The 15,563-nt window shown below is 38.0% G+C and overlaps 1 protein-coding gene across 11 annotated transcripts in view, besides 1 other annotated feature; it reads right to left on the reverse strand.

The window, feature by feature from the left end:
* The window catches only part of PARD3 (par-3 family cell polarity regulator), a 705,736-nt gene that overhangs the window by 294,721 nt on the left and 395,452 nt on the right, over positions 1 to 15,563 (reverse strand). The gene's annotated exons all lie outside the window — the stretch shown is intronic.
* Positions 12,577 to 12,777: a silencer, noted in NCBI's record as "peak925 fragment used in MPRA reporter construct". NCBI's record gives its function as "represses an SCP1 promoter by STARR-seq MPRAs in K562 erythroleukemia cells {active_cell/tissue: K562}" and the evidence as "EXISTENCE:reporter gene assay evidence [ECO:0000049][PMID:32103011]".

Raw genomic sequence — 15,563 nt, forward strand, 5'->3', positions numbered from 1 at the left:
TAGTTACTTTTAGCAAGAACTATACACTGAATTCCATTATAACTACAGTAAACAAAGCTGTTATTATGTATGTCAAATCAATATTTAAGAACTATACAGTACTGGCCGGGTGAGGTGGCTTACGCCTGTAATCCCAGCATTTTCAGAGGCTGAGGTGGGAGGACCACTTGAACCCAGGATTTCAAGACCAGTGTGGGCAACATGGTGAGATCCCGCCTCTATTTTTTTCTTAAAGTAAGAAAAAAATAGAACTATATAGTATCAATTTAAACTAAACTGTGCCAAAGAACTTTCAGATATGAGACAATACAGCCATTTGTTTTTTTTTTCTTTTTCCTTTCCCTACTCTCCATTTCATAGCAGAGTACAGACATTAAGAGCTTGGGTTCAAGATTTAAACAGACCTGGGCGTGAATAGCAATTCTATCATTTGCCAATTTTATAACCTTATGCAAGTTATGTACCTTTCCATGTTTCTATCCCTTCTTCTATAAAACGTGAACAATAAAAACATCTTCCTTGGCTGGGCTTAGTGGCTCACACCTGTAACCACAGCACTTTAGAAGGCTGAGGCAGAGAATGGCTTAACACCAGGAGTTCAAGACCAGCCTGGGCAACGTAGCAAGACTCAGTCTCTACAAAAAACCAGGTGAGATAGTGCGTGCCTGTAGTCCCAACTACTGGGAAGGCTGAAGCAAGAAGCTTGAGCCCAGGAGTTCAAGGCTGCAGTAAGCTATGACCATGCATGCCACTGCACTCCAGCCTGGGTGACAGAGTGAGACCCCATCACAAACACAAACACACACACACACACACACACACACACACACACACACTTTAAAAACTCTTCCTCTTAGTACTGAAAGAATCAGTACGAAAATCCTCCATATCACAAGCATTACATGGTGCCTGACACATAGTACTTACCCAACAAATGGTTATTTTATAAACATTATTGAAGACAGAAATAGATAACACATAATACAGAAAACAAACCTCGATAAATCTTTTAGGGCAATTATGTACAAATATACGACATTTTAAGAGTATATACATGTATTCATCTATTCATACACTGTGCCTTGCAAAACAATTTAATATGAAACATATTACCCACTCGATCAAATAAAAAACATATTATTTATAATTTAGAAACTTGCTGACACCTGATATTTACTGTGCTTTGCTATATACAAAATATTTTCAATGTAGAATGTCTTTAGGATGAGTAAAGAAACCAAAAAAAAGATAAATAAATGCTATATACAATCAAGTACATGGCAAGAAGAAGAAAACTTTGTGGGGTGGTGGTTGAAGACATTTTCAGAGAGAAAGTAGATGTAAAAAAAGTAGGAGGGGTCTAGGATTTTTACAATACCTGAAAGCTACACCTTCATCAATGCTGGCAGAAGGCAGAAGATTCCTGGGTCACAGACAAAGAACTATTCACAACTCATAGCCACACCGCTAGCCAGAGTATCTTCCTTTTATGTAGTGGTTCCTCAGCTAAGATTCTCACAAGGTGATGTGAAGAGGATCCAGGGACACTGGCACACACAGAAGAACCCTAGGCTTAGGGAACCTGAATCTTTTAGACAGACAGGGAGTATCTTTGCTTGCTGCTGTCAGAGGAGATCTTATACCTATCTTGCTCTACAAACATCCTTGAAAAGATTGTCCACAATGAAGACTTCTGTTCTGTGTGTGTATATATACATATACAACCTCCTCCTCTTAGATGAGTCATCTGTACAAAATGCCAAGAGAACAATGAGGAGTTATCTCCAAACTGCAGAGTTTAATCAAAGGATTGACAAATGATGTGGATGATTGCTAGCAGACTAAAACTAGGAATATTATTAACAAATGATCTATGATAACAATGCCTTCTGAATAGCGATATTAAATTCTACTAAAAGTCATATCTTCTACACTGAAAAAACAATTCAGTGTAAAACTACATGCTCAAAAAGATCAAGCATGAAAGATAAAAGAAATTTTGAGACTTGCAAAGAGATCTTTATCTCCTTCACATGAACACTTTCTTATATAAAGCTCTTTTTGGAAGTGCTCCAGCAAAATCCAGAAAACACAGTAAGAAATCAGTCAGAACCCAAGGGAAGTCCTAGAACACGGGAGAAATGGCAGTTTAAGGAAGCAGAAACCAGTTCAGATAAGAGCAGGAGGATGGAGAGGTCTAGTAAGTACATCTCCATGAGAAAAAAAGAAACTAATAATTGGTCTGATATCGTTCTAAAAGTTCTTTCATTCCCCTTTAGTTTTTCTCTTTTTTTGACACGGGGTCTTGCTATGTTGCCCAGTTCTGACCTCAGACTCCTAGGCTCAAACAATACTCCAGCCTAGGCCTCCCAAATAGCTGCAACTACAAGTTTGCACCTCCTCCCTGGGCTCAGGTCTGATACTTTTGAATATTTGAAAAATAAAAGGCATCTTGACAGACCTGACACAGAATGCAAGGGGAAAATCAAAAATATATACAGAGAAAACAAAGCAACATGAAAAAAAAAAAATTGCCCCAGGAGAAAAAAAATCTGTAGAAGAGGAAATATATTCAGAGTATCCATTTGGTTATGCAGTGAGCAATTGTCACATTGCCATGTGCTGTGACACTGGCTATTGACTGAAATTAGACTTTGGATGTAACAGCATTGAAAGGATGGGAACAAGAAACCAGAAGCAGTATAAAAGGAACAACTCTTATCTTCCATATGGCAAGTCAACAGATGTCAGTAACTGGTAATCAGGAAAGAGCAACATAAATATATTATTTAGAAACATGGAAGTAAATATCAGAGCAGACATTTAGGGAGAAAGACGGGAACAGTGGCACAGAGAGGCTGTTCATTTTTATGATAAGTCTTTTAGCATTATGTCTTTATTTTTATTCTGAAATGCCTGCCAAGGGGGTGGAGGGGCTTCTCCGGTCTAACTAACATGCAGACTGTCAAGGCCCCCACAGACTGCCTGGCATTGGATTGACAGTGCAGGGTGTAAGGCAGGAGACCCCACTTGCCAGCAAGGCTGTATCATGCCTTGTTTTCCAGAGGAGTGTGCACCCAGCAGTCCTCACAGCTGTGCAGGAGCCATTCTCTTGGGGTCTCTAGCAGACAGCGCAGGCGTGTTGACTCACATCAGGAAGTTGCAAGAGCTACCATGGCTGAAAAGCCTCATGCCCCAGAGAAGCCAGTGTCTCTTGGAACAATGCCATAGTCGTAAGCTGCTGCTCCTCAGATATTTATAGTTTTTCAAGTCTCAATACGATTTACCAATCAGTGGTTACTTTTGCCTAAAAAGGCAGTCGACATACTACCTTTATTAGGATTCCAGAAAAGGGGGGCCAAAACATAACTAAAGTTTAACTTCTCATGCAGAAATTGGAAAAGAGCCAGGCATGGTGGCGTGCGCCTGTAGTCTCAGCTACTTGGGAGACTGAGACAGGGGGATCACTTGAGCCCAGGGAGTTCAAGGCTGCAGTGAGTTATGTTCATACCACTGCATTCCAGCCTGGGCAACAGAGTGAGTCCTTATGCCTAAAAAAAAAAGAAAAAAAAAATCCAAAAACTTAAGTGATCCTACCACAAAAAAAGTACAGGACTTGTAACTAGAACACTTGAGACTAGAATCCTGCCTCCATCTCTCACCACAGAAAACAGGAACACAAATGTTTACAAAACAAGAAATATAAACCATACTGTCTAATTCAGAGGAACACTATAAAACTTAATCTAGAAACCAGTCATCTGTATATCTACATTCAAATTCTGAGGTCCAAGAAGTAAATATTTTGGATATTTATCACTTGAAAGAAAAGCCTATATTTATAATTTTTAAAATGTTTTATAAAAACTTAAAGTTATACTTCTCTACTTAAATTTCCAAAATATCTATCTTTGATTTTTGTGTTTAGAAAGCACAAAAAAAAAATGAAAATTCTCATGGTACAATTTACAATATTTTCTGTCAAGTGTTTTTAAAAAAAATTATTCATAACAGTAAATAAAATATTTTAATGAGTTCAAATATATTGCTAAAAAAACACTCAACTAAATGTTCTTTTTCATACTTTTTAGAATCCCTCCAAGATTTTCCTAACTTAATGAGAGACATGTTAACTATTAGTGAGCTATGGTATCCTAGAGAAAATATTTATTAGGATGTTGACAGAGTGAATTAAAGCACTTTTTCTTTGGATTACATTTGATGAAAAATAATTCCAAAGGGAATCTGTTTCCAAGTCTCCTAGGTATCACAAATAGGATTGCAGAAGGCATTCGTGTTAATGTCCCAACTACTTGATTAACTGGCCGAAACACCAGGAAAAAGTAATTTCCCATCATATATGGAAAACAATTGAAAACATCTGTAGGAGAGAGGGGCTTCACAATACAAAATGATAAATCTATAGCAACCTTCCAAAGAAATAAAATCAGGAAATGTGTAATACAATTTTAATTCATGATCATTATATTCTGCCAGAATAAAAACATTCATGAAAAAAATGCAAATACTTTTTAGAAAAGACAATATTAGATAAGATATAATAATATAATAATATATAGCAAAAATAAGATATTTTAAAATTAAAAATATTCCCTTGTAGAGGGAAATTAACAGCTGTTACAGTTTTAGACAAAGTCCAGTTCCTTATAATATAAACTATGCTCTACTGAACAAAGCTCAACATCAAATTATTTAGGATTCTATGAAGAATTATTCAGCGCCTGTGATGTAATCACTGTATATAAGCGCCATCCCCTCAACCAGATTCCTACTATTCTTATCTCAAGCTAGTACTGATCAAATGTAGTATTTAACACAGTCCATGAAATTTCCATTTCCCAGAGAAATGAAATGCCTCCCGTCTTGATACATATACAACATGACTCCATACAACCAAAGGCAAAAGAACAGATGGTGCTGATTTATGAAAGCTATCTAACCACAGAGAACAACAAAAAGTATGTATCTCTGCACCAGTTCCATGCATAATGGAATCTTAAAATTCAGTTCCAATATGTAAGTCTTCTCATTGATTATTAGGATTCCAGAGCATGGAGGAATCTTCTTGGAAGATATTTAGTCCAGCATCCAAAAGTACACTGCAATTTGTCTTCACATTCTTCTTCCATTTTGCCTGTCATCAATGATTCACACAGGAAGATTTACATATTGATGCTTACTAAAAATCACTGAATCTAATAACTAGTCCCAGCACCTTACCTGCCATCATCTGCCGCATTCCTATACATATTTATCCCAGATGACCACTCAAGCAGATACCACCATGCCAGGAACACTGGCACCGCTTGTTTTGCACGAAGGGCGTCTGCACTGCTTAGGGTTCTCCCACCACACACTAGTGACCAAGTGGCCACCCTCTAGTTGACACGATTTTATTCAGACTAATCAATCTCTTTTCAGAAGTGGCTTGCTTACCAGAGTAACACTTATTTTTCTTTTGAAAATAAAACTCATTAGCTATGTATTTGTTGCATTGTCCTTAATTCCCAGTATATGATACAAATGTGAAACAAAAATTAAGATATTAAACAAATACAATAATTTAAAGTATTAAACATGTTATATTTGATATGGCAGCTGAGCACAGTAATAAAAAACACGGATTTTGCATGCAGAATCATTTTGACAAGTTACTTAACTTCTCTGTGCCTCAGTTTACTCATTTATAAACTGTGGGAAATAATAGTATCTATCTCAGAGTTTCCACAAAAATCAAATGAGCTAATTGAAGTACTCAGAAAACTGTCTTGTAACTATTAAGGGCTAACTAGGTGCTCAACACCACCCTCTAGATAAATTTTAAAAAGAAAATGGGAATTTGGTAACATATTTGTTTTAAAAAATAAGTGTCCTTCATCTTCTATGGCACAAAAGTTCAGTTAGAGTGATTAAAGAACACCAGGCTCTCCAGGACACTGTTGTACTGATGTGAGATGATTTCTGTCTTTTCCTCTTACCTTTGGTGTTTACTTTCAGTTTTTTTTTTAGATCATATAGGTTTTTCTTTTCTTACATAGTAATAATAAAATATAAATATTTAATGTATCATTTTATTGCAATCATTAAAGAAACAATTTTTAATGATTCAATATTCTATCGGGTAAACATATCATCATTTCACAATTCACTCATCAAAGAACACTTCAACTCCAGTAACTGACAGATTTCTAAATAAAAACATTTCAATATTTAGGATTCACTTCTTTGGAGGAAGTCTATAACATAATGTTTCAAATGGCATGATCATTTTAAGGTAGCCAGTATCAAACTACTTTCTAAAATGACCGAGCCAATTGATATCATTACCAGCCTCTTATTAAACTGTTCATTTCACAACTTTTATTTTCTGTGTTGGGACACAATTCTCCATTTGTCTCTTGCAAATCTGCATGTCTTATAAACAGAGGCACTGATTGCTTCTGTTCTGGACTTGCTTTTCAAAGATACCTCTACAGAGATAAGCTGTGGGAGACAGAGACAGTGTCTCCCTCCAGGGCCAAGGGGAGTGAGTCTTGCTTACTGCCATTATAAAAGATTCATCAGCTCAGAGTCCTGTCCTGTAACATTACCCATAGAGCATGCAGGCATCCATCTGGGCCCAAGGGCATCACTTCCATAGGTCTAGGGAGTAAGGAGAACTGAACCAAATATGCTGATGCTTATGTTGCATGTTGTGCTAAGAGTAATACAATTTCTCATCTCTGACCTAGGAGCCTCAGGTCTTCTGTCAGCAACCATGAAACTGAGGCAGGCTAACTTGTTAGCTTGCAAGTAGGATAAAATCTTAGATCCTTCTCAGTTCTTAGACAGCTGCTCTAACAGACAGAGATGGGGGAGGAGGGAGATAGGGAGACAGACAAAAAGACACACATACCCCTTATTCCCCTTAATCTATCAGCAAAAAGTCTTGCTGCCATTCTAGCTGGAATTTAAAATTGCAAGTGAGATTAAAGATATCATAGTGAAAGTGAAGTATATATGTCAACTTGACGGGGTCCCATGACATCCAGACATTTGGCCCAACATTATTCTGGGTGTGTCTGCCAGGGTGTTTTTGAAAGAGATTAACATTTAAATCAGGAAATTGAGAAAAGCCCAGTGTCCTCCCTAATGTGGGTGAGCATCATCCAATCATTTGGAGACCTGAATAGAACAAAAAGGCTGAGGAAGAGGAGTCCTGTCTGACTGCTGAGCTGAGATACTGGTCTTTTCTTGCCTTTGGACTGAAGTATCAGATCTTCTGGGGGACTAGAGCTGCAGGCATTTGGGCTGATCCTTACACCATTGGTTCTCCTGGGGGTCCTGCTTGGTGACTGCAGATCTTGGGACTTTTCAGACTTCATAATCACATGAGCCAATTCCTTATAGTAAATGTTATATGTGTGTATATATCTAAAGACATACATATCTAGATAGATAGATAGATAGATAGATAGATAGATAGATAGATAGATAGACAGAATCTCCATTCTACCAGTTCTGTTTCTCTGAAAAACCCTAATACAATCATATTTGTGGAATGATTACATATACTCTTTGCAAGTTTATCAGGAGTTTTTTTTCTATGTATTTTAACAAAATCTTTATAAGCTAGTCGTGTGTGTGTGTGTGTGTGTGTGTGTGTGTGTGTGTGTGTGTGTATTTCCTCCTTTTTTAAGAGACAGGGTTTCATTCTGTCACCTAGGCTGGAGTACAGTGGTATAATCACAGCTTACTGCAGCCTCAAACTCCTGGGCTCAAGCAATCCTCCTGCCTCAGCCTCCTGAGTGGCTAGGACTAAAGGTGTGCATCATCGCACCTGGCCAATTTTTTAAATATTTGTACAGACTGGGTCTCAGTATGCTGCCCATTTTGGTCTCTAACTCCTGGCCTCAAGCGATCTTCCCACCTTGGCCTCTCAAAGTGCTAGGAATACAGGCATGAACCCCAGCCCCAGCCAAACTAGCCATTAATCCCGTAGATATCATATATATTTTACCAAGCAATGGCATGTTTTCATTTTATGTAAAATGAAGATGCTGATACAAGAGAATAACATTTTTTAAAAAGCGATGTACTCTCTTCATTCCTCTCCTTCCGCTTTAATAAGGACCCACACTTTACCTCCCATTCCACCTTCCTTTTCTCCCAGCCCTAGCAGACATCCACTATCTGCATTAAGGTGTAACCTTTAGAAATATTTCTTACCAGAAATGGTCTTGAGAAAAGAACTGTTTAAAAGTGGTGACAACACAGAATGTCCATTTCAACAGATGTATTTATTACTAAAATATCTTGAATCCGAGAAATGAATTAAATGCTGGGAAATCGTTTCATTAGATTTAATAACCATATCATTTGCTTTTGATTACACAGTTTGGCCCAATTATGTTAGTACTTTTGATTTCCTCAGGTTCTTCCCTTGCGATATAATTAAATCCGGGATTCATGATTTGCAAATGGACTAAAAGAACTTCAGCTCCTTTTATATGAAACATTTTCATATCAATATTTACCAGAAAGAGATGCCTTCAGAGAAAGAGACATTACAATTTTTAGAAAAATGATTAAACAAATGATACATAGGCCAAATAAGAAATAGAAAATACAGAAGACATTACTTTCATTTACAAAAATAAAAGATTTGAAATATTTGTTGAGGTCACACTGGGGGATCAGAACTGTTTTACTCTTGAAACGTTTACTCTTAAAATGTTAAGATAAAACAGGATCAAGATGACTGCTTATTTGTTCTCCAAATAATAGACTAGGGTGAAGTGGGTTACTACTAACAGAAATTTTCTCTCTTGAAAAAACATTAGGCAGTACTTCAGATATATATACACACACACACACACACACACACACACACACACACATATATATAAGACTTTGTAACTGATAAGAAACTAAAGTCAATTTTAAAAAATAGGACGGTAGGTATATTTTTAAAAACCATAACACCTATGCATTAATACCTGACTCCAGAGCATGGATGTGTTTAATTGTGTGTAGGAACAATGGGCAGTACAGTCACACAAAGACAAAGACAAGGAAAGTGGGTTCAGAAGCCTTTCACACTTTTCCTGGAAAGTCAGCTCGGTCTTTTGTTATTCAGATTAGCATTTCAAGGGCCAGCTCTACCTTTTTTTTTTTTTTTCCACTTATTTGAGAAACCTTTTGACTACCAGATACTATTTCCTATTCAAAACCCTGAATCTGTCATTAGGCAATTTCTAAAATAAGTCTCATAGCCCTTTTATCCAGATTCTTCTTTATCTCTAAGGGTCCCGAGTTACCTGCCTCACAGGTCTCTATCACCACGCTGAGTTTCGCAGGCTTAGGTCTGTCCCTTGGACATTAAGTAGGAAACCCACTCCTTACGTGGCCAAATCATTTTGGCTCTGTTCTCTATCATTCTGAAAATCACCCCTATATATGAGGATTTTTTAAAAAATTGGAATTGCAAGGGAAAGGGGGAACAAGTTGATGACTATAAACGTTCTTTAGAGTAGCAAGTCAGATATTAGTAAAATTCTACCCTAAAAGAATCATTAAACCATGAGAAAACTTGTGACACTAGTAATAACATTGCAAATGTCAAAGTAGTTGAGTTAAATAATTGACAAGGTCAAAGAGATTAATAGTTAACGATCTCATTTCTTCTGACAGTAAAAGAAATCCCATCTAGCCCGGGCAACACAGTGAGACCTTGTCTTTACAACAAAGAAACACACACACAAAAACTGGCTGGGAGTGGTAACACGTGCCTATAGTCTCAGCGACTCAGGAGGCTGAGGTGGGAGGATCACTTGAGCCCCAGAGGTCAACACTGCAGTGAGCTATATTCATGCCGCTGCACTCCAGCTTGGGTGACAGAGCGACTCCAGCCTGGGTGACAGAGCAAGACCCTCGCTCTTAAAAAAAAAAAGGGAGGGGGGAGAAACAAATATCATCAAGGTACAAAGTACAAATCATATTTAAAAAATAGAAGCATGTCTACTGTACCCACATGCCTAAGAAGAGCACTGCTATGGCTCAGCTGTTTTCTCAAGGCACTTAAAAACCCATGACATTGCTAGCCATAAAACATCCTAAAGGAACACTCAGTCGGCCTTGCAACTTGGATAGGACTGAGAAGTTGGAAAGGATCAGTTTTAAATCACATCCTCGGGTCAAAACCCTAAGGTTTCTATAAAAGCTGAATCTACTGACCACAGTTAACAACAATCTGGCTGGGCGTGGGCTCACACCTGTAATCCCAGCATTTTGGGAGGCCAAGATGGGCCAATCACTTGAGCCCAGGAGTTCAAGACCAGCCTGGGCAACACAGCGAGACCCAGTCTCTATAAAAAAAAAAATTAAAAGAAAAAAATAAACAATCTATTATATATTTCAAAATAGAAAGCAGAGAGGACTCGAAACATACCCAAGGTGATAGACATGCCCAGTACTCTGATCATTATATGTTCTATGGATATAACAAAATATCACATGTATAAGTATTATATATTTAGAAAACAAATAAAAAAAATTAAAAAGCAACGTCACTAAGTAAGTACTGGGAAAAGGAAACTGAAAAGACCTCCCAAGTGCCTCTATACCATAACTCTTCCAGGGACTCATGGAGAGAGGAATGGGGGTGGGCAGACCAGACAAGCAGATGCAGACATGCAGATTCATCTGCAGTAACCAGAAGTTTGATCTTACAGGTGAAAGACAAAAATCAATGCAAGGAACAGACTGTTAAAGCCATGATCAGGAAGAAGAACCACCAACTTCTGGAGGAATAACCACCAATGTGCAAGAACTGGTATGAAGAAATCAGAGAGCCAGGAGCGTGCTAATAAACATCTAATAGAATCTCCACAAACAAAAAAAAAGGGTCAGGAGGTGGGGAAGCCGTATATGTAGTGTTTGTTGATACCTGTTGCACAAACACTCCCACCCTGGCAACCAATATAGTGTCACTGAACACAGAGTTGGGAAGACACATGCACAGTCGGCTCAGGGGAAGGGAGAAGTCAGCCAAGTGAATGAAGTAGTACTTGAGTACCATTAGAAAGAAAAGAAAGAGTTCGCAGAAGATCAATAAATAAGCAAAATCAATAATATAAAGTATCAACACTCTGAATGATACTCATAGTTGGCCAGATTATTGCTTTTATATGTATTGTTTTACATTCTAGAAAGCCTATTCATATATCACATGTTTAAATGTTACTTGAACCAACAAATGAAATGCTATCAATCAATGAATTTATAGCAAACCAGTCAAACAGCAAAGAACGATTCTTATCTAAAAAGGAACCTGAATTGCATAAAAGACCAGTAGAAAGGGATTAAACACCATAGTGCCTCTGCTCACCGGTATGGCACCTCAGTGGGATTAAGGAAAGGAGACACTTGGAGGGGACACAGCTTGGGGTGCAGTGTATAGGTGGCATTGCACCCCCAAATCTACCCATCAACAAAGTGGTCCTGAACATAGAATTGCTATTTGGTGTTTTACAAGTATACCTATTAAGTGCATACATACTGTCTGGAGAAAGCAGTTTATCTTATGGATATTATACTTAAATACTAAAAACAACTTTACATGGAGGGTACCCTCAGAGGGTAAAGATGAGTAGGAGGACAGAAGGCATTAACTGAGTGGTCATAGATTTAAAAGCCTTCATGAATCTGCCAGGCACTATACACACGCTGTTCCTATTCTAGGAATAGAGAACTGCTGCTCAGAGTAGTTAGGTAATCCATCTCCTGTCTGTGCTATCAATCCACGAAGTCTACGTGTATGTAGGTCTACCCTCCTCAAAAGAGAGCTACTTAATAATAGGACACACCGCTTGTAAACAGAGTGCAAAATCCACAGTGCCAAAATCACAAGATGTAAATGGGAAATAGAGTTTACTGGGGAAGGTGTCACAGGTAGGGAAGGAGCAGAGAGAGCCCCACAATAACCCAAATCTTGTCATGTCACAGTCAGCTATGCTTTGAGCAGACATAACTAGACTAGATGCACTCTTAAAAGACGTCCAGGAGAGTGGCTCATTTCAGTGACACTTCACACCAACATAAGGAGGGCAGGGGGGACTTTGCAGAGAACATCACTAACAACAAACATGAGTTTCCTGCTCAAAATGAGACTATGTCAGAAGAAGGCAGCCTGCAGAGATGAGAGGTTCTACAGTAACAGTGAGCAAACTCAGATCTTCATTAAGCACCTATCAGGGCCAGGCTTCCCTCAGGCATCTTTGCACCTACAGCATCTAGCTCAGTCCCTGACTCTAGTGTTTAGTTGTCCAGAATGCGCTGGATTACTAAGAGAACAACCTGATGTAAAATGAAAATGAAAACCTAGCCAGACACTGCCCAGTATTAACACTGACATCCATTTGCTAGAGATAGAATATGGAAAGTGAGACTATGAACAAATAGAGGTGGCTGCAAATAAAATAATGTATGAATTTTGTGACTTTAAATACCTTTAAAAAAGATTGTATCACAACATGAACTGTAATGGCCAGATTGAAATGTCTTTGCAAAATTGTAACAATAGGAATCTGACATACTTGACTTCATCTTGCTTCTAAACTCCAAGCTGTCCTTCATCATTCCTGGCCATAGGCCAAGCTAACTTTGGGAGGAATTTAGTTTACAGTTTAACCTTACAGCAAGGATGATAACAGGGGACCCCTTACTCATAACTCAACAGATCCTGTGGTCCCACCCAGAGGCATGAGGAATGGTTCCCACACCCCTATGATTTCATCCCCACCCAATCAGTAGCACCAATTCCCCAGCCCTCTGCCCACCAAATTGTACATAAAAACCCTAAGCTTCAAGCCTTTGGGGAGACTGACTTAAGTTATAACTCCAGTTCTTCAGCATGAACCAGCATTGTGTCAATTAAACTTTCTCTACTGTAATGCTGTGGTCTCGGCGGACTGATTTTGTCTGTGCAGCGGGAAGGAAGAATCCATCAGGCAATTACAGTATTCAGGTAAGAATGAATTCACTTTGCAGTTTTAAAAAGCCACAGAAAAGAACATGGATTACACTGAATTTCCTATGATCAAAATTTTTATTTGGGAAAACTTCAAACCTCAAGAAAATTGAAAGAATATGCTCAACATTATATCCCCTTCACCTATGAACCACCAACATTGTGTCTCCTCTCTAATGATTTTTTCTTATTTTTGAATCATTATGATTAAGTTGCAATAGAAATTCTTAAAGGTGATTTGAAGGTAATGGATTAATTATTTTCAAAATAAAGAAAATAATTTCGATTGTTTGGGTTTATTTTGAACTTGAGGAAATTTTTGAAAGGAAATAATGAGTGCATTTATCTTAATGGTTTTCAATTACCAACTGCATTTACTACTGTTCAGCTTTTCTGACTTTTCACCACAAAAAGGAGAAAATAGGCTGAGCCTAAATTCCACAGGTACTTTTCAATGTGGTACAAAGAGAAATACCCTTCCTTAACCAAATTACCAATGTGATTTTATAAAAAATTTCCACTGAGTAAAAATGACCAATGACCCATCCAGAAAAAATAAAGTTCCTCTTTCAGAGTCTGGAGAAAGTAGCAAGACAAGTCTAAAATAAAATTTTAGAAATTAAATATACAACATCTTTTTTCAGTAAAAGCATATTCATAAAAACTTAAGTTCATAAAAATAAATCTATTTCAGAGCTATTCATTTTCAATAATTTGTCCTAACTCTGAAAAAGGAGTGTAATTCTATACTCTAGAAGCAAGAATAGTGAACTTCGAAATTTAAAAAGTAAATTTTAAGTGTCTATCATTTAACTTTTCAAGACAGTAAAGTGCCATGGATGATTATATTATATATTTTTTATTTTTAGATATTTACTGTTTGAGGCGTGGTCTTGTTCTATCGCCCGACTGGAGTGCAGTGGCTTGATCTTAGCTCAATGCATACTCGACCTCCTGGGTTCAAGTGATCCTCCCACCTCAGCCTCCTAAGTAGCTGAGAGTGCAGGCACTCACCACCACACCTGGCTAATTCTTATATTTTTCTAGAGATGGGGTTTCTCCATGTTGCCCAGACTAGTCTTGAACTCCTAGACTCAAGCAATCTGCCCACGTAGGCCTCCCAAAGTGCTGGGACTACAGGTGTGAGTCACCGCACCCAGCATATATTCTTTATTTTGCACATTTACCACATTTCCAATGGGAATGTGAAATAACTGTTACTCTGCAAGCCTTAATCTTTTATCTCACAAACATGAGCAAATAAACTACAGGTCTACTTCAATATTCATGATTATTAATCTTTAGAAAATTACCTAAATCTGTTTCAGAAATGTTTAACTCACTAGTCTTTATTGAGTGACTAACTTCAAATCACTGTAGTTGACATAAAAACATTTGTCTAGTGTGTTCCATTTTCAGAGGGCAAGTAACTCCAACCTTGTCCCCTGAGAGAGCTTTAGAATTTCTGTATTTTTTGGAGACAGGGTCTTTCTCTGTCACTCAGACTGGAGTGCAGTGGCATAATCACAGCTCACTGCAGCCTCCACCTCTTGGGCTCAAGCAATCTTCCTGCCTCTGCCTCCTGAATAGCTGGAACTACAGGCACATGTCACCATAACAGGCTAATTTTTGTATTTTCTGCAGGGAAAAGGTCTCACTATGCTGCCCAGCCCAGGCAGGTCTCGAACTCCTGGGCTCAAGCAATCCAACTACCTAAGCCTCCCAAAGTGCTGGGATTACAGGCAGGAACCACTGCACCTAGCCTAGAATTTTTAATAAAAGACATGTGTTCATAAAATTAAATTTAAAAAACAGAATAACTGTTGAATATTAAAATCTTAAAATTTGTCATCAAGTAAATTATAAATAAGAGCAAAGGTTCAGTGTTGAGGGGAGAATGGATAAGAAGTAATGCAAAGAAACAGGCCAGGTGCGGTGGCTCATGCCTGTAATCCCAGCACTTTGGTAAGCTGAGGCAGGCGATCACCTGAGGTCAGGAGTTCAAGACCAGCCTGACCAATATGGTGAAACCCCGCCTCTACTAAAAATACAAAAATTAACCAGGCATGGTGGCATGTGCCTGTAGTCGCAGCTACTTTGGAGGCTGAGACAGGAGAATTGCTTGAACCCAGCAGGCGGAGGTTTCAGTGAGCAGAGATTGTGCCACTGCACTCCAGCCTAGGTGACAGAGCAAGACTCCGTCTCAAAAAAAAAGAAAAGAAAAGAAGTAATGTGCAAAGAAACATTATTTAAGGCAAGGAAAACCAATCCATTTCAGTTTGGAGTGTATGTATGTCTATTTAGAAAATGTTTTAAATGTTAGGTAGTTACTAGGCAGTATTTCGCCATTATTAAGTAGTTTCATAAAATATTTAATTAGTGGTAAAGTATATAAAATACAATATTTCACCCTACATTTCTATTCCAACTCTCCCTTCAGAAAGAATTAACCATCATTACAATTTGGAAAACAATTCTCTATTATTTTATACATAGGACATATCCATACACTCAAGTGCAATTTTTCACAAGA

Source organism: Homo sapiens, chromosome 10 (assembly GCF_000001405.40).
Source record: "Homo sapiens chromosome 10, GRCh38.p14 Primary Assembly".
Classification (NCBI taxonomy): Eukaryota; Metazoa; Chordata; class Mammalia; order Primates; family Hominidae; genus Homo; species Homo sapiens.